Source organism: Homo sapiens, chromosome 11 (assembly GCF_000001405.40).
Source record: "Homo sapiens chromosome 11, GRCh38.p14 Primary Assembly".
Classification (NCBI taxonomy): Eukaryota; Metazoa; Chordata; class Mammalia; order Primates; family Hominidae; genus Homo; species Homo sapiens.
This window is the reverse complement of record NC_000011.10, coordinates 60,644,805-60,665,028: the sequence shown is the minus strand read 5'-3', so window position 1 is coordinate 60,665,028 and position 20,224 is coordinate 60,644,805. Positions and strand designations below refer to the sequence as shown.

The window sequence follows — 20,224 nt, the reverse complement described above, 5'->3', positions numbered from 1 at the left end:
TAGTTTAATAGTTTCTTTTTTTTGCTGTGCAGAAAGTCTTTAGTTTAATTAGGTCCCATTTGTCAATTTTTGTTTTTGTTGCAATTGCTTTTGAGGGTTCGGTTTTATTATTCTGTATATGGATGGCCACTTATCCCAGCACCATTACTGAATGGGGAATCCTTACCCAATTGCTTATTTTTGTTGACTTTGTTGAATATAAGTTGGTTTTGGGTGTGCAGATGTATTTCCAAATTCTCTATTTGGTTCCACTGATCTATGTGCCTGTTTTTGCACCAGTACCAGCATGGTACTGGTTAGTTACTATACCCTTGTAGTATACTTTGAAGTCAGGTAATGTGGATGCTTCTGGCTTTATTCCTTTTGATTAAGATTGCTTTTGCTATTTGGGTTCTTTTTTGATTCCATATGAATTTTAGAAATACTTTTTCTAATTGTGCTAAAAATGATAATTGGTGGTTTGATAGAAATAGCATTGAATCTGTAGCTTGCTTTGCGCAGTATGGCCATTTTAATGATTTTGATTCTTCTAATCCATGAGTATAAAATGTTTTTCCATTTGTTTGTGTCATATATGATTTCTTTAAGCAATATTTTGTATTAACTAGTTTTCCTTGTAGAGATCTTTCACCTCCTTGGTTAGATGTATTTCTAGGTATTTTATTACTTTTGTGGCTATTGTAAATGCAATTGCATTCTTGATTTGACTCTCAGCTTGAATGTTATGGTGTATAGAAATGTTTAGTCATAAAAAGAATAAAGTACTGATATATGCTACAACATGAGTGAACTTTTACCACAATATATTGAGTGAAATAAGCCAGTTAACAAGAAATTACATATGATGTGATTCATTTTTAATGAAATGTCTGGAGTAGGAAAATATATGGAGACCCTATGTAGATTAGTGGCTGCCTAAGGTTGGGGAGAATGGGAAGTTGGGGATGGGAGTGATAGCCAAGGGGTACAGAGTTGCTTTTTGAGGTGATGAAAATGTTTTTGAATGGACTGTGTTAATAATTGCACATATCAGTGAATATACTAAAAACTATTGAGTTGTATGCTTAAGAAAAGAATCAATTAAGATAATACTTACATAGACAGCTAAAGATTTTCCCAGGTTTACATGAAAATAAATATATATGTTTTCAGAAAAAAGTTCCTGAACTCAAATATCTGCACCCCAAAAGGAAGTCACTTAATGTATATTGTTTGAAAAAACAATTTAAAAATTATGGTACAAAAGACATATATTCTGGTGGGGCACGGTGGCTAATGACTGTAATTCCAGCATTTTGGGAGGCTGAAGTGGGTAGATCACTTGAGGTCAGGAGTTTGAGACCAGCCTGGCCAATATGATGAAACACCGTCTCCACTAAAAATACAAAAATTAGCAGGGCGTGGTGGTGGGAGCCTGTAGTCCCAGCTACTTGGGAGGCTGAGTTGGGAGGATTGCTTGTACCTGGGAGGCAGAGGTTGCAGTGAGCTGAGACTGCACCACTGCACTCCAGCCTGGGTAACAGAGCAAGATTCTGTCTCAAAAAACAAACAAACAAGCAAAAAACAAAAAAAAAAATTCAAACAAAAACATATATTCTACATTTATTTTCTGCTTTAACTTGAAAACATGCACACGAATAAGATATAATATTTTACTCTTTAGAACATGATTAAACCAAGAAACTTTTCAAGTAAAAAAATTATTATTTTCTCCCCTTTTTTCTATTTTTCATGTTGGAGTGCCCTAGGGCTCAGTTCTTGTTTCTCTTTTCGTCTTTGTTGTGTTCTTTCCACTGGAGATCTCAACAAGTCTCCTGGCTTTAAATATCTTCATGTCTAAGATTCTCAACTGAATCCGTCCAAATGTTCAAGACGAAACTATGGCAGCCCTTATTACGTTTTCTTTTTTTCATCACACCTATCACCTTCTAACATATTATATTATTTCCCTGTTTGTCCTGTTTATTGTTATTGCTTTTATCCTGCTATTAGAATGTAAGCTCCCTAAGGGTAATAAATTTTCATCTGTTTGTTCACTGATGCATCCTACATACATAGAACATGCCTGACATGCAGCAAATTATATATATATATATCTACACACACACACACACACACACACACACATATATGTATATGTATAGATTGATTGATTGAGGTGGAGTGGGGAGATGGAAAAAGAAGGGCAGAAGACGGAGTGATGGGGATTAGGGAGAGAGTTACAAAGGGATCTAGGTTGTGACTGGAACTTGGAAATTACAATCATAATCTTCCCCCACCAATCCTCGAGTAAAAAAACCCAAAACTTTTTGTGAGTTTTTGTGAAAATCAGTCAAGGGGCTGAGTTTATTCACAACTGTTTCTTTGGGTGTTGTGGAGAAAATTTGGGACAGTATGCACCAATACAGAAACTAAACTATGAGAATGCTAGTTCTGGGAGTTTACCAAATCACATGGGGGCTTTATGGGCTTTCATGTCATCTGTACTTATATCTCTGTGGATGTAAGGTTTTCCGTGGAAAAGCAACACCAGGTGACTTCTAAGTCACATGTTCACTCTGCTTGCAAACAAATTACAAAAAAAAAAAAAAAAAAAAAGCTTAGAAAAAGGCCTAGAATGAAAAATGATATTAACAGTGGCTACCTTGGGAATAGAAGTTAAAAAAAGTGTAATAGCTTAATGCCCATAATTATAGCTTCCAATCTGGGGCTGAGAAAAATGGCCTCTCATACCACTCTGACCCTATTCTACTGAAAGAAAAAATAGGAGGACCCCTTTATCTGAAATATGAAATACAATTTCAATTTCTTCTCTTACCAGTCCCTGAAAGCAGATTTTCCCCTGGGGAAAGAGGAGAATCCACCTGTTTTTTCTCAGCGGGTTTTGATAAGCAGAGTGGTATCTTTGTGCCAGTTACTGTTCTTTTTTCTTGAGATGGAGACTTGCTCTGTCACTCAGGCTGGAGAGCAGTGGCAGGATCTCAGCTCACGGCAACCTTTGCCTCCCAGGTTCAAGCGATTCTCGTGCCTCAGCCTCCTGAGTAGCTGGGATTACAGACGTGCGCCATCACACCCAGCTAATTTTTGTATTTTTAGTAGAGACGGGGCTTTGCCATGTTGACCAGGCTGGTCTCGAACACGCGACTTCAGCTGATCCACCTGCCTTTGGCTTCCCAAAGGGCTGAGATTATAGGCATGAGCCACCCTGTGTGGCCCCAGGTACTGTTCTTTATGCTTACATACTAATTTAATCCTCACAGCAACCCTTTGAGGCAGTTACTATTATTAACCACATTTTATTTTTTAAATGAGGAGAGTGAGGCACAGAGTAAAGTAATTTGCTCAGGGTTACACAGGCACTAGTAAGGCAGTCAGAATTGGAAAATTCAGGCTATCTGCCTCCAGAGCTGTGATCCTAATCACAAGGGGGGCTGTGAGAGACAGGAGGGAAGTTCTAAAAGAAAAAGGACCATCCTTCGTTAGATGTGTTGTCATGATATCTGGTTTGTGTTCTAATTGATATTTCCTGACCTGGTTTTGCTGAAGGCAATTCTCTTTTCACACATTATTTTGTCTTATCCATTCTCCTTAACTAGACACTAATTTTCTAATCTTATCCTAATTACATTTCTTCGCTTCCCAATGCTTTGATTCTCAGGGTCGAAGTTTTGTTTGGTGGCTAGGTTTAGTGGCTCATGTCTATAATCCCTGCACTTTCGGAGACCAAGGCAGGAGTATGCCTTGAGGCCAGGAGTCCAAAACCAGCCTGGGAAACATAGCAAGACCCTTATCTCTGCAAAAAATGAAAAAACCAGGTGTGGTGGCACACACCTGCAGTCCCAGCTATTTGGGAGGCAGAGGCTGGAGGATCACTTGAGCCCAGGAGCTCCAGGTTGCATTGAGCTGTGATCACCCACTGCACACCAGCCTGGGTGACAGAGTAAGGCCTTGTCTTAAGTTTTATTTGGTTATATATGCTCGTTGAGATAGCTTGAAATGATTTATTTCATGGAAACTCTCACGTCTGTCTCTGTATACAATATTATTGCTCACACTGTATCCTCCTCCAACATTCATGCACAGAGGATGCACTGGAGGATATCTTTACAAAAATTAAATAATTTTTTTTCATTTAAACATTTGGAAAAGTTTTTTTTCCCCAAAAATGTTGGCCCAGCAATAATTTCTTTTTTTGTTTGTTTGCACCAAGTAACATTTTAATCTTTAGAGTTGCTCCGAATATTCTGACATACCTTATATCTCGTAACAGGCTTCTGTATTACACTACTGGATCCTGAGTTGATGAACTGGGGATAGAAATAAGCATTTATAAACACACAATGCCTTATGATAATCCCCTCAATAGCTTCTTTCCCTAGAGCCAGTGGCATTCCTAATATCCAAAGTGGCACTGAATGCATTTCTGAAGAAAGTGATTTTAACATGAAAAACCCCATTCGAAGTCTGTAGTGACCGCTAGTACAATTTCTAAAGCATGGATTCACTATTTCTCTGTTATAGGGATGAAAAATGTTTTAAAGTCTCCGGTCATTAATGAGACCTTTGCATAGGTGATGGGACTTAGGGAGCTCACAATGATTTTATGAGGACAAGTTGTAGGCACTTCACTTGTTTTAATTGTCATTTATTGATCCCTTGAAATGAATTATTAGAAAATATTTCCTAGTGGCTAGTGTGGTGGCTCTCACTTGCAAGAACTACGTTTCTCCCATAATGTTATAAAAAAAATTTCATCAGTGGGAATAGTTTCAGAAAACATTACATCTGAAGATTTATAGGTTGCCTTCCACAAATATCATACCCTAAGTGCTATCATCACCTTCTGGCACTAATTGAAAGGATTGTTGTTTCTGGAATACCAAGAATTAATTTTTTTCCAGTAAATCATATACCTGTCTTCAATCTGCCTGCGGCAATAACAAAAGATGATTCAAACATACTAAGAAGGGGACTGGGGATCCTTCAGCCCAGGAAAATGAAATCCTGTCATGAAGGCAGAATCATCTTAGCTTGTGTTTGTTTGTTTTTACCTCTGACACTTCATTGCTGTGTCACTCTGTGAGAGTCACTTAAGTTCTCCAAGCCTCAGTTTCCCTGTTTGTCAAATGGAGATGAATGATAGCTATCTCATGGGGTTGTCGTGGCAATTAAGGTAAAATGAACTTGGAGTGCCTTTTGGAGATGCCTGATACATAATAGGTATAAAATTGAGTAATTATTATCTATGGCTAAATATCTGTCATATGCTCCTCTTTCATATCTTGGGCTGAGGATTCTTTCTAGATGATTTGCAATAAGTGATTAATTGTATTATTTCAGTTTAAATGATTTGTCTTTATTACATACACTCTTTCCAGAAAGTTCTCGGTGTTTGTAAATGTCTTCCACTTGAGGACTCCCACTATAAGAAAGCCTTAGAGAAAATAATGTCTTTTATCCAGAGCAGAGATCACCAGGCCCTTCTCTGGGTGAAATGACTGTACAGGGATGTCTCAGAGGCCTTTTCACAAAGCAAAAGGGAATGTGTTATACTAAATCTTCTCTCCCTTGAAGCCCTGTTTTTGGTTGAAAAGTACAAAGTTGTGGGTAAGGAGGTAATAAAACTCTCTTCTATGGAGAAATTTAACCTTGGGTAAACTTTCTGCTTCTGTAATTGGGCATGCCCTTGGTGGGAGTTTTGGCAACTGCTACCATGGAATTATTATAATACCCTTATTCAGAACATCTACTTTAGAAATCTCTGTTTAATTTCCCCAAATTCCTCCTGTGCCTCTAGGTCTCCTTTTTTTTTTTTTTCTGTATACATGCTCTCTAAAAATTGCCTCTGTAGCCCCAGACATTAAGCTAAGGCCTTTGGATTTTTCATTCTGCAAAAGATAAGCCTTGTAGTTACCCAAATAGCCACTCTCTTTATTATTCTTCAAGCATCCTCCTTTAATATATTTTCCATATAGGCACCTCAACCTCTCAAGAAAATTATTAAAATATACAACAAACATAAGGCATTTCTAAGTCTGTATTCACACAAAAATGGGCTCCTTTAAGTTAGAGATTGGGTCTTTAGCCCATTTCTAGACACCTGAATTCAATAGAAAAAAATAAATGAATTGAAAGCAATAATACCATGGTTTACTCACAAAAAATAATGACAAAAATGAGTAAATTACTACAGCAATTATAGGGATAGGACCAGAACCACTTGAATCCTCTCTTAGCAAAATCCAATGAATTCAGAGAGTTCCCAGTGCACTGTGAATCAGGCCAATCATTATTTGCACAGCCTGTGAGAAGAGAGAGCCAACATTATTACTCAAGTCAAATCTACCACAGATGATTACAGTCTGGGTGACTGAGAGGTTAGGAGAATGTTTGCTTTACCCTGGTACTTCTGAAGCAGTAGTGAAAGAATTGTGTGTCAGAGAGAAAGCAGGCTGAATAGAGAAATGGCAGCCACAGTTAGGTGGTGCGGTCTCCTCATGTATTTAAACAGGGAGTATTTGCTTTTGTTTCATAGCAACCTTTAGAGACAACTAATATTTATTTTTCTAGTTGGTTCTAGTTAAGTAAAAAGCAGAGGCCTATTTGTTTGGCCCAGGACACACAACAAAAGGAGAGCTGTTGGCTCTGAGGATCCTTAAGGTTCTCCTTGATATTTGTCTCCGTCCCATGGTTGGTTCTCTGAGGCCAGCTCCAGCCTGTAGACTCAGCTCTTGTTCTCCACTGTGAATCCCAAATAGGAACTTTTGATCTTGCCTTACTTCCCTCATCCTCTCTTGTTTGTGACTTGGACCTCAGTTTCTCTCTGCTCTGCCTGCTCCTGCAACCAGTGCTGACCTTTGTAACCAATCTGGATCACAGCTCTAGACCTTGTTCAAAAAAGCAGGCAAGCAGGCCCTCTAGTGACTCCTGGTTTTCTATAGCTCTTATGTGAAGTGGTTCTCTGGGGCCTGCTTGGAGCTGGGCTTTATTTTCCAGCCGGAGTAGAGCCACCTGCGCACACCAGTGACTAGGATGTGTGCAACCACCGAAGGGGCCGTATTGGAGATTAAAACCCAACATCATCTGCCCTGCAACTACTTTATCCCCTGGTGCCCATTCTTTCTTTCTGATCTATTTAGGTAGTTTTAAGTGAATTAAAGCTACTTCAATCAGATTACCTTAAAATTCATGTTCATAGGGAATATATGGGTTTCTGTTCTGGTATTGAGATTATGTAAAAGTATATTATTCAGAGTTCTCCAGAGAAACAGACCCTATATATTTTATATATACATATATGTGTGTATAATATATATGTTAGTAAAAGGAAAATAAATCTTAGGACCTTATCTTCACAGGTGTGGGACGAAGGACAGAACTCAGTCATCTCTCTGCTCACCTGAGACAAATGCATATCTGATTGCTTCCTCTGCCCTATGTTTATTTTATCTTATGTGAAAAGGCAGATTTATTGGACTAGACAAATGTATAAGTAACTATTCCTGTACCCCCCTGTCATGCGTACATTGTGTATTCAGGGAATGGCTGATGAAACACTCAAGAGGATGCAACTGCTTGCCTCTTATCTAGTCACACCCTTTAAAAAATTTCTTCCTCTTTCCTCATACCTGCGCTTTTGCCTTTGAATACTGAGGTCTCCAGACCCTCTTCAGAAAAAGTATGGGTCACAATTTTCCCTGTGGTTCTGGGTTCTTTCTCAGGCATGTCCTTAACCTTGGCAAACAAACATCTTAAAATGATTTAGACTTGCCTCAGTCGTTTTGATTTACTCTGTATCTGTACATGTACTCTGTAAATTTTGGCTGGCAAGTCCAAAATTTATAGTGTGGGCCAGCAGGCTGGAGATACGGAAGAGCTGATGGTGCAGATGAAGCTTGAAGGCAGTCTTCTGGAAAATTCCTCTTGCTCCATGAGGGGAGGGATGAGGGAAATGGAGGGGGGAAGGTCAGCCTTTTGTTTCACTCAGACCTTCAACTGATTGAATAAAATCTACCCACATTATGAAGGGCAATCTGCTTTACTCAAAGACCAGCGACTTAAATGTTAATGTCATCCACAAACACCCTCACAGGAACAGCCAGAATAATGTTTGAACAACTATCTAGGCATATTTTGACAGAGATAAGTTGACACATAAAATTACCCATCACAAGTCAACTTCATGTCCACTTAGCAGTCCACTTAGCAGTCCACTTACACATCTCGTGAAACCATACTTAATCTCCAAAGAAAGATGTACTTTTGCCTAACAGCTGTCATGCATACAACAAAAAATGCACTAACACTTTTCCAGAAGAGGATGCAAAATTCTTGAGTGACGTTTACTCTTCTGTTGAAATACCACAACTTAAAAGCCATAACATAAAGTCAACACATCTTATGTTACATAATAAGGGGATAAGAGAGGGAAGAAAACAAAGGTATGTAATACACACAAACACACAAACATGTTCATAACAAAATAAGGAAAAATACTCATGACAATTACAGTCCTTATTTCTGTAACTGGCCACATGGTTATAGCTGGTATTTATGATTATTTTCTCCCACTACCCATTCCATATTTCCTTTGCTTTCAGCAAGCACCTCAGCAGGCTGTGATTATTGACTTGGTGGGTTGACCCAAACCATCACTCCTGAAGAGTCTGGGCCATCAGTAGTCCTGTTCTAATTGGGTTGTTGTAGTTTTCCATTGACCTTAATCACAGGACATGGTAATACTGAGGATACCCTAGGGGGCTTCCTGTATTACTAATATACACTTCCTTAACTGTGAAGTAATAGGCCAAATTTCCTTATGGTAGTCAGTATCGATAACCCCTTCCAGCACAATAACTCCCTTCTTTGCCAACTGATTCAGAGATAAAAAGTCCAAAATGGCTAGTTGGGAGTCCTAACTTCCAGTTCAATGAAATCATTATTATGTCTCCTGGTAGAAGCATTTCTTCCATTGGAATAAAGACATCTGACAAGCACAGTATAATGTTTCAGGACAGGAAGCAAATTTTTGCTAGTAGGTAACTATGGGTAATAGTGAGTGGTGTCACTCCCATTTTCACTCCCTGATTTCTGGACCTGTGAATCCTAGCTGTGGGAGAAACACTCTGCTAGTGAACCTTCCCCCAGTTATGCAGGATATTGCCAGCTAGCTGGTGCTGTAATTGTCTTCAAAAGTTCATTCCATCATCCTGTCAAACCAGCTGCTTCATAATGGTGGGGAACATAGTAAGACCAGCAAATTACATGAGCTTGAGCTTATTGTTGCACTTCATTTGCTCTGAAGTGAGTTCGCTGATCAAAAACAATGCTGTGTGGCATTACCATGGCAATAGATATGGCATTCTGTAAGTCCATGGATGGTAGTTTTTGCAGAGGCATTGAATGCAGGGAAGGTAAAACCATATCTAGAATAAGTATCTATTCCAGTAAGAAGAAAACACTGCCCTCTCCATGACAGAAATGGTCCAATGTAGCCATTCTGCCACCAGGCTAATCACCCCAGGGAATAGTACCATATCAGGAACCTAATGTTCATCTCTGCTGCTGGCATTTTGGGCACCTATCAGTGACTGTAGCCAAGTCAGCCTTGGTGAGTGGAAGCCCATGTGGCTGAGCTCATGCATAACCTCCATCCCTGCCACTGCCACCATGGCCACTTTGTTAATGGGCCCATTGGACAATGATGGGGTGGCTGAGGAAAGAGGCTGAGTGGTATCCACAGAATGGGCCATCCTATCTACTTGATTATTAAGATCTTCCTCTGCTGGCTGGGCATGGTGGCTCATGCCTGTAATCCCAGCACTTTGGGAGGCCGAGGCGGGTGGATTTCCTGAAGTCAGGAGTTCAAGACTAGCCTGGCCAACATGGTGAAACCCCATCTCTACTAAAAATACAAAAATTAGCTGGGCATAGTGGTGTGCACCTGTAATCCCAGCTACTTGGGAGGCTGAGGCAGGAGAATCATGCTCTTTGGTGGACATTAACATGGGACACAAATATCTTTATGTGTTTTGCCTATTCAGAAGTCTATCCACAAACCTGTTCTCTAGACTCCTATGTCACCACTTTTCTAATCATATTCGTTTCAAGTCCCTGACATTCCAGCCACACCATTGGCCACAGCCCATGAATTAGTATATAGTCACACACCCGGCTATTTCTCCTTCCAAGCAAAATATACAACCTCGTGTACTGCTTGAAGTTCTGTCCACTGGGAAGATTTTTCTTCATTATTTTCTTCAGGAATGCCTCAGAAAGGGGCTACAGTGCTACAGCTGTCTACTTTGGGGTTGTGCCTGGGTATTATGCAACCTTGGCTGGTCATGTTTCTTTACCTGACAGGATAACCCAAACCTTTAATCCTGAAGAGTCTGGGCCATTCATAGGCTTGCCTGGATTGGGTTGTTGTAATTTCCCATTGACCTTAATCATGGGGCATGACAGTACTAAGAGACATCTTAAAGGATCTCCTGTATTCCAGACATATTCATTTTTGCCTCTATTCATTGTGAAGTAGTGGTCCAATTTCCCCTTGGCATCCTGGATTGATCACCCTAGCTAACATCGTTAACTCTCATTTTTGCCTGTTGACTCAGAGGCATGTAGGTATGCCCTGCATTCTGATAGTGTACTGGGTAGGTCTCAACCAGCTGGAGATAATAATATATTTGATACGTTGAGAATTTTCCTAGTGCAAGGTTTAATGTTGCTGACTTAAATGCAAATGTGATTCAAGGTCCCACAAATATTGGATAATACAAAAGGGTATAGTATTCTAAGATTGAGGAGAGCTGAGCGGGAGATCATTGAAGCAGAATGTGACCCACCTGAGCTGAATGTAAGGGGCACATGTTGACAGTACAGTGCCCCAGGGTCTACAGCCTTTTCTGGTTTTAAGCCCATTACCTGACCACTTTATGATTGATGAGCTTTGATTCAAACTGTTTACAGACACAGGCAGAAAATGGACCTCTCATATATCAGCAAACACAGAATGTATTTGTTAGAACCCTGGGTGGATTGTGGTAACGTTGAACTATTCCGGAATGTTTTTTTGGGTCCGTCACATTTGAGTCCAATTAGCTTTAGGCTAGTTATCATCACCTTAGGACACTTTTGTCAATTCTCCTTCCTTTGGGGAAGATGTGGTCAATGTCTTTTCCTTTTTCTATTAGGAAGAAGCAACACTAGTCATTTATTAACCCAAGTAGCACTTAGTCCTTACCCCCATTGCTTTGGTGCCTTCTTTTAGGATAAATCTTCTCAGCATTTTAACAGAGATATTGTATAGCAGTTATAGAGGATGAATGGACTCCTTTGCTATAGAGAAATATAGAGAACAAGTAATACTAATGATTATTTTGAGATAAGGCACTTGAAATGGAAGCCTCTGATTTTCCACTGCTTAGCAATTCCTTGCAAAAAGCTTTTTGCATCAACCCACTGACACTATTCTCTGCTAAACAGCAATAACTTCCTGGCAAAAGCCAAAAGCTACCTCTTAGATTTTATTCTTCTGTAATGACCTTAAAATGAGACTGAGTAGATACCTTTTGATGTAGCTGACCCACTCCCATTATTTTCGTCTTTCCTAGAGAAGTAAACTGTAACAGAAAAATGTAAAATGTGGTATGGGGTGTAAAAGTGTAGAGGTTTTGTATGCAAGTGAGGTTGGGTTGTCATCAGCTTAAAATAGGTATATCTACAAGATTTTTTATTTAAGCCTCATGGTAAATACAAAAGAAAGCCTATAGCAGCAACCTACAGAATGGGAGAAAATCTTTGCAATCTACCCATCTGACAAAGGGCTTAATATCCAGATTCTACAAAGAACTTAAACCAATTTACAAGAAAAAAAAAACCCCATCAAAAAGTGGGCAAAGGATATGAACAGACACTTCTCAAAAGAAGACATTTATGCAGCCAACAGACACATGAAAAAATGCTCATCATCACTGTTCATCAGAGAAATGCGAATCAAAACCACAATGAGGTACCATCTCACACCAGTTAGAATGGTGTTCATAAAAAAGTCAGGAAACAACAGGTGCTGGAGAGGATGTGGAGAAATAGGAACACTTTTACACTGTTGGTGGGACTGTAAACTAGTTCAACCATTATGGAAGACAGTGTGGCGATTCCTCAGGGATCTAGAACTAGAAATACCATTTGACCCAGCAATCCCACTACTGGGTATACACCCAAAGGATTATAAATCATGCTACTGTAAAGACACATGCACACGTATGTTTATTGTGGCACTATTCACAATGGCAGAGACTTGGAACCAACCCAAATGTCCATCAATGATAGACTGGATTAAGAAAATGTGGCACATATACACCGTGGAATACTATGCAGCCATAAAAAAGGATAAGTTCATGTCCTTTGCCAGGACATGGATGAAGCTGGAAACCATCATTCTCAGCAAACTATCACAAGGACAGAAAACTAAACACCTCATGTTCTCACTCATAGGTGAGAGTTGAACAACTAGAACACGTGGACACAGGGTGGGGAACATCACACACCAGGGCCTGTCAGGGGGCTGGGGGAGGAATAGCATTAGGAGAAATACCTAATGTAAATGATGAGTTGATCGGTGCAGCAAACCAACATGGCACATGTGTACCTATGTAACAAACTTGCACGTTGTGCACATGTACCCTAGAACTTAAAGTATTAGAAAAACCAAAAAAAACCCAAAACAAAACAAAGAAAGCCTATAGCAGATGTGAAAAAGATAAAAAAAAAATCAAAGCATATCACTACAAAAATTCAACAAATCACAAAGGAAACCAGCAAGATTGGAAGAACAAAGGAACTACAAAACAGTCAGTAAACAAATACCAAAATGGCAATACTAACTCTTCACTTGTCAAACATTACCTTAAATGTAAATAGATTAAATTCTCCAATCAAAAGACAGAGTGGTTGAATGAATAAACAAATAAGACCCAACTCTATGGAACCTATAAGAGACTCACTTCACCTTTAAAGACACTCTTAGACTAAAAGTGAAGGGATGGAAAAAGATATTCCACACAAAGGGAGACCAGTGCATGGGTAGCTATCTTATATGTGTCAAGATAGACTTTAAGTAAAAAATCGTAAAAAGAGACAAAGTAATTATATAGTGATAAAGGGGTCAATTCATCAAAAGGACATAACAATTGTAAATATATATGCACCCGACATTGGAGCACCATATAAATGTGTGCATATATATAATATTAATAGATATGAAGGGAGCAATAAACTGCAATTCAATAATAGTAGGCAACTTCAATATCCCACTTTCAGCAATGGACAGATCATCCAGACAGAAAATCATTAAGGAAATCCTGGACTTGAACTACACTGTAGACCTAATAGACCTAATATACAAATAAAGAACATTTCTTCTAATAGTAGCAGAATACACATTCTTCTCAAGTACTAATGGAACATTCTCCAGGATACATCATATATTAGGCTCCTCTCAAGTTGTATTAGTCCATTTTGTGCTGTAATAGAATACCACAGACTGTGTAATTTATTGGCTCAAAGTTTTGGAAGCTGGGAAGTCTAAGATTGAGGAGTTGGCATCTGGCAAGGGTCTTACTGTTGTGTCATCCCATGGTGGAAAGGCAAAGAGATGGTGAGAGATAGAGAGGCAAAAGAGGACCAAACTCTTCCTTTTATAATGAACCGATTCCCTCAATAACAAAGCCACTCCAGTGATAAGGCATTAATCCATTCATGAGAGCAGAGACATCATGGATGAATCACTCTTAAAGGTCTTGCCTCTTAATATTGATAAAACGGCAACTAAATTTCAACACGATTTGGGAGGGGACAAACCTTCAAACCATAGCATTTATCCCATAGTCCCCCAAAACATATGTCCTAATATACAAAATGCAGTCATTCTATCCCTAGAGACCCAAAGTCTTAACTTGTTCCAGCAACAGCTCAAAAGTCCAAAGTCAAGAGTATCATCTAAATCAGATATAGGCATGAGATTCAAGGCATGATTCATCCTGAGATAAGTTTCCCTCCAGCTGTGGGCCTGTGAAATCGAATAAGTTTTGTGCTTCCAAAACACAATAGTGTGACAGGCATAGGATAGATATTTTCATTCTAAAAGGGAGAAATAGCAACAAAGAAAAACTCAACTGGGTAAAGAATGTTAAATCTCAAGTCTACAGAATAATCTTGCTTGACTCCATGTTCCACTTCCTGGACACATTGGCATCCAGATAGGAAATGAATCCTATGTATAGAAAACCCCATAGACATGATGACATGATCCTATATATAGAAAATCCCATAGATTCCACCAAAAAACTATTAGAACTAATAAGCAAATTCAGTAAGGTTTCAAGGTTAAAAACCAACATGCGGCTGGATGTGGTGGCTCATGTCTATAATCCCAGCACTCTGGGAGGCCAAGGCAGGTGGATCGCTTGAGGTCAGGAGTTCGAGACCAGCCTGGCCAACATGGTGAAACCTTGTCTCTACTAAAAATACAAAAATTAGCTGGGCATGGTGGCACACATCTGTAATCACAGCTACTCAGGAGGCTGAGGCATAAGAATCACTTGAACCTGGGAGGTGGAGGTTGCAGTGAGCTAAGATCATGCCACTGCATTCCAGCCTGGGGTGACAGAACAAGACTCCATCTCAAAAAAAAAAAAAAAAAAAAAGAAAGAAAAAAAGAAAAAGAAAAAATCAACATGCAAGAATCAGAAGGTTTTCTTTGTACTAACAATGAACTATCCAAAAAATAAATTAAGGAAACAAACCCAGTTACAGTAGTATAAAAAATATGTAGAAACAAATTTAACCAAGGAGTTAAATGATTTATATACTGAAAACTACAAACCATTGATAAAAGGAATGGAAGAAAACACAAATAAATGAAAAGCTATTTCATGTTCATGGATTGGATGAGTTAATATTGTTGAAATATCCATACTACCCAAATCAGTCTATGGATTCAATGCAATCTCTATCAAAATTCAATCTATTTCTCACAGAAATAGAGAAAAAATCTGAAATTTGTGTGGAATCACAAAAGACCCCAACTAGCCAAAGCAATCTTCAGCAAAATGAACAAAGCTGAAGTCATCACACTATATAATCTTGAAATATATTACAAAGCTATAATAATCAAAACAACATGGTATTGCCATGAAAACAGACTCAGTGACCAATGGAACAGACTGAAGAACTCACAAATAAACCTGCACATTTATGGTCAACAGATTTTTGGCAAAGATGCCAAAAGCACACAATGGAGAAAGGACAGCCTCTTCAATAAATGGTGTTGAGACAACTGGGTATCCACATGCAGAATAATGAAATTGGACCCTTTTCTCACACCATATACAAAAATCAACTCAAAATGCATTAAAGACCACTCTGCTTATCCTTTACTTCCTACTTGTGCAGAGTCTGAACATTATCCGAAGGTGAGACCTTAGGATGTTTTCAGGTCTTTTCTGAGCATGTGTCTAGCCCAGGGCATGTCTGTGGCCTTCTAGATTATCAGAAATATGTGGGAGTTTGTTACTCAAAGCATCTCATTCCCTGGCCTTTTCTCCCAAACTTTTCAGTTAGTCTATTATTTGTCCCAACCATTATTCCTTGCCTCAGAAATCAATGACTATTATGTTTTTTCCTTTACATGTTTTTGACAAATGCCACTGCTTACCTGAGCTCCGGGATAGTTCTGTTTTAGGCGAGGTAAAGGCAGGTTCTCTGAGCAGTTTCTCTATGGAACCACCAGGTAGATCTAACAAGCAGCTGCAGTTCTTTGAGGATAAGATTTGCTTTGCTCCCTCTGTTACTGGGTACCTATACAGAGAATGAAGGCTGTTTTATTCAAGGGCACTGACGAGCTGGGGAGTGGGAAATGAGACTAGGATAAATTAAAATGTCACAAAAATCTGTTTCCAACATTTCCTTGTGTTTTCTTGATCAAGCATCCCTTGGTTGCTGCAAGTTTTCGTTAATTTTCAGAGTTGTGAGAATGTTGCTTCTGAAAGTTTTTTCCAGCTTATTAATTGCTTGGTGTTCCCCACTGTGCCATTTTCACTGATGTCACCTCTAACCATGTCGTTTTAGATTACTTTCACTGACATAAGTCTTATATCTTAGGAATGAGTCTTTTGGGTTCCCACATGCTCACTGCATTGGAACTCTCCTCTAACCTTCTCCATGAGCTTTCCATATCCTGCACTTGGCTTTTGTCCCATTCCTAATTTAAACTTCTATTCCTCAGTGGAATTAAAATGGTGCCCAGAAATCCAACTGAAGTATTGTTAAACTTGAATACCTCACTGCTCCCTTCCAACTTCCTCCCCTTTAGTCTTCCCCCAAAGCCAGTCCAACCCAGCTGAACCAAATCAACCAACCCATTAAAACATGGAAAACTCCAAATCCAAATCTGTTACTATATTGAGGGGTGGGTGTAGAGATAGAAATGGTAGACAAAGATCACTGGCTCAGTTCGCAAGGAGCTCATTTTTTTGCTTGGACTATTATGAAGATTTCTTATTCGGTCATCTGTCCTCTAATATTCATTATTCATTTCATTGCTCCTTCAGCCTATTCCCCACATCTCAGCCACAGCAATTCTTCATATATCATCATACCATTTTAGAGGCTCCCTACTGACTTTAGAATAGTCTGCAAACATACAAGAGGCTTTCACGATGTGCCCTCCAGCTTCCTTTCCAGGCTAATTTCTCAAACCATACTCCAGCCATTTCTGGTCAGTTTCAGTTCCACCAATAAGTCATTTTTTTGTATGTTTTTGTCATATTCATCTTTGTAACTGTAGATTCTAAGCACTGTGCATGGTACATTTTTTTTTTTTTTTGGAGCTCAGTGACTGTCAAATAAATGTATAAGTACAACGAAGTTTCTATGTGTTCCTGCAGTTTGCAAACAGCTAAACTGACTGGATTTCATTTCATGCTATTTGAGGTCTTAGTATAGGAGCTCATGGCATTCATAAAATTAGTATTAATAGATAATTTAGAAAAGTGTCTAGTATGTAACATTGTGCAATAAATGTAGTCATGATTGTAGTTTTATTACTACTGTCCTAAAGAGCAAGCTGAAACTCCAAATTTGAATGGTAAGTCTGGAATGCAACGACTTAAAATCTAGGCTATGTGAATACACGAAATTCACTTCAGGGACCCTGCAGAACATCTCAAGGTGATAAACAGAGATCTTATAAAATAACTGACACTCAAGCTTAAGAGGATATCTTATGGCCACCTGAACCATTAGGAAGAGAAGGGAAACCCAACAGTGGTTTCAAACAGGAGCTCAAATTGGGCAGATGCTGAGAACTGCAGGCCTTGGTTTTTCACGGTGCCACAACTCACAAGGCCAACAGCCCCGCTGGTGTTTACTTACTTAAATGGATGGAAGATTCTCTCAGGCAATGCCAGGTAAGCCTCCTAGACGCCTGTATTGTGCCGAAATGCGTAGGACAAGAGTGGATCGTCTCAACTATACCATGGTTACTAGTAAAACATTCCTGGCAATGGGAGAACCCAGGACGAGGGAGTCGCGAATGGTAACCAGGCCAGGGCTTCGGGCACTCGCGTCACCCTCTTAGCACAGGGACAGGGGGGCGTGGTTCTGCAGGCAGCGCCCTGAGCGGGGGGCCTGGCAGCCTCGGGAGCCCGGTGGGGTCTGCTTCCTCGGTGGCGTCCTTCATCCCCCCTCGCGGGGTTCTAACGCCCAAGAGCGGGGCTGTGCTAGAGACTCGCGCGGATACGTGAGGTGCGGTGGGGCTCCCGTGGCACCACGGAGCCTGCAGGCTCCCAAGACGAGGGTGGGGTAGGGGCTGACAATGATGCCGCTCTTTCCTGGCTGCGTGGGCATCATCCTCTGTCCTTGGGCCTGGCGCACCCAGGAGGAAGAGGCTGTGCTTGATCTGTCGGCGGATTGATCACGTGGTGGCCCCACTGCTAACCCCAGACACACCCCCGCTTAGAAGCAGCATCATTGTCAGAAGCTCCTTGCCACTTAGAATCCTCTGCAAGATGTGGTGGGTACAGCACTGCACTTAAATCCTTTGGTCCTCAGTTTATTCTTTTGTAGAGTGGAGATGATACCTGCTCAGGTACCTCATATGCTCATGCTGCAGAACTTTGAAAACCAAAGATGTTTTACAAACACATTCCACTGCAATTACAAACATATTCCACTGGGATAACCAGCTCTTGAACTCCGCCAAGAGGCCTGCCCATAAACCCTGCAGAATGACTTGTCAGAGGGCTTCCCAAATAGCCAACACATTCTCCTAGCACCCTGGGAACCCCACCTTGAATAGTACCCCACACATGCCCATGCACAGCTCAGAATGAGCTCCCACAGACAGCACTTGGATCTCAACAGCAGCTGTGGATCTTACCAACTGGCTTGACACTGCTGCTTTGAAAGAAGATGAGGCAGGGCGTGGTGGCTCACGCCTGTAATCCCAGCACTTTGGGAGGCCCAGGAGGGCGGATCACCTGAGGTCAGGAGACCGAGACCATCCTGGCTAACATGGTGAAACCCTATCTCTACTAAAAATACAAAAAAATTAGCTGGGCATGGTGGCATGCCCCTGTAGCCCTAGCTACTTGGGAGGCTGAGGCAGGAGAATCTCTTGAACCTGGGAGGCAGAGGTTGCAGTGAGCCGAGATTGTGCCACTGCACTCCAGCCTGGGCAACAGAGTGAGACCCTATCTCAAAAAAAAAAAAAAAAAAAAAAAAAAAAAAAGATGCACAACCTTTAAAACTTCAGGACATTGCCTTAGGGAAAATAAATGGCAGGCTCTCAGCATCAGGCCTGACTTTGGATTGAAAGAAGGCACACAATCCTGAGACTTGCCCACTAAGAAGGAACAAGAGAAATAGAGTGTGCACATTATAGAAAAAGTACATGAGGCCCCAAGAATCTCTGGCTGGGCTCACTGTGAAGGTCTTTCTCTACTGAAGAAAACCAGTAAAGATTAGAAACATTGACTGCTTCTTCAAATGTGAAGACAGTAATGCAAAGCTTTGAGGAACACAAAGTATCAAGGAAATAGGACACCACCAAAAGAACAAAGTGAAGCTCTTGTGGTTGACCTTTAAAATTGGATATCTATGAACTGCATGACAAAGAATTCAAAATAATCATCTTAAAGAACATCAGTGAGCTGCAAGAGAACATAGAGACAATTTAACAAAACCAGGAAAACAATAAACACACACAAAATGATGTTTAACAGAGAAAAATTGTGAAAACACTGGCATACATTTAACCAAGGAAATGCCAAAGTTGTACACTGAAAACTATAAAATGTTGATGAAAGAAATTAAAGTAGACACAAATAAATGGAAAGATATCCCATGTTCATAGATTGGAAGAACTAATATTGTTAAAATGTCTATTCTATCAAAAGCAGTATACTTCACAGAAATAGAAAAAACAATCTTAAAATTTGTATGGACTCACAAAAGACTCTGAATAGCCATAGCAATCTTGAGCAAGAACAAAGCTGGAGGCATCACACTTCCTGATTTCAAACTATATTACAAAGCTATAGTAAAGAAAGCAGAGTGGTACTGACATAAAAACAGATATATAGACTAATGGAACAGAACAGAGAGAACAGAAATAAACCCATGCATAGATGGCCAGCTAATTTTCAGCAAAGGCAGAAAGACTACATAATGGGGAAAGGGTAGTCTCTTCAATAAATGTTGTTAGTAAAACTGGATATTAACATGGAAAAGGATGAATTGGAGCCTTATTTTATATCAAACACAGAAATTAAGTAAAAATGAATAAAGTAATTTATTTTAAAATCTGAAACCCTAAGACTCCTAGAAGAAAACACAGAGAGAAAGATCCTTAACATTTATCTTGGCAATGATGTCTTTTGGATATGACCTGTAAAGCATAGGCAACAAAGCAAAAATAAACAAGTGGGACTACATCAAACTAAAAAGCTTCCACACAGTAAGAAAAACAATGAAAAAGCAACCTATGGAATGAGAGAAAATATTTGCAAACCATATATCTGATAAGGGATTTAATATCCAAAATATACAAAGGACACATACAACAGAATAAAAAAAATAAAGCAACCAAATTTAAAAATGGGCAATTTAAAAAAATAGATTTATGGGGTACAAGTGCAGTTCTGTTGCATGAACATATTGT

The 20,224-nt window shown here is 39.7% G+C and overlaps 2 long non-coding RNA genes across 5 annotated transcripts in view, besides 1 other annotated feature; one reads left to right on the top strand and one right to left on the bottom strand.

Annotated features, from left to right (window-relative positions):
• LOC105369321 (uncharacterized) overlaps nt 1-20,224 on the top strand; it is a 95,635-nt gene that overhangs the window by 38,901 nt on the left and 36,510 nt on the right. The window lies entirely within an intron of this gene.
• Nucleotides 1-20,224, bottom strand: part of LINC00301 (long intergenic non-protein coding RNA 301) — a 71,399-nt gene that overhangs the window by 22,121 nt on the left and 29,054 nt on the right. The window contains exons 4-6 of the long non-coding RNA NR_026946.1: nt 15,719-15,861; nt 11,246-11,340; nt 4,254-4,307 (exon numbers count right to left, since the gene is read on the bottom strand). This is a non-coding gene — a long non-coding RNA (long intergenic non-protein coding RNA 301). The remainder of the gene's footprint in view (nt 1-4,253; nt 4,308-11,245; nt 11,341-15,718; nt 15,862-20,224) is intronic.
• Nucleotides 8,591-8,760: an enhancer, noted in NCBI's record as "experimental_21611 CRE fragment used in MPRA reporter constructs". NCBI's record gives its function as "activates a minimal promoter by MPRAs in K562 erythroleukemia cells, with activity observed for both the introgressed and non-introgressed 11:60423827 variant alleles {active_cell/tissue: K562}" and the evidence as "EXISTENCE:reporter gene assay evidence [ECO:0000049][PMID:34662402]".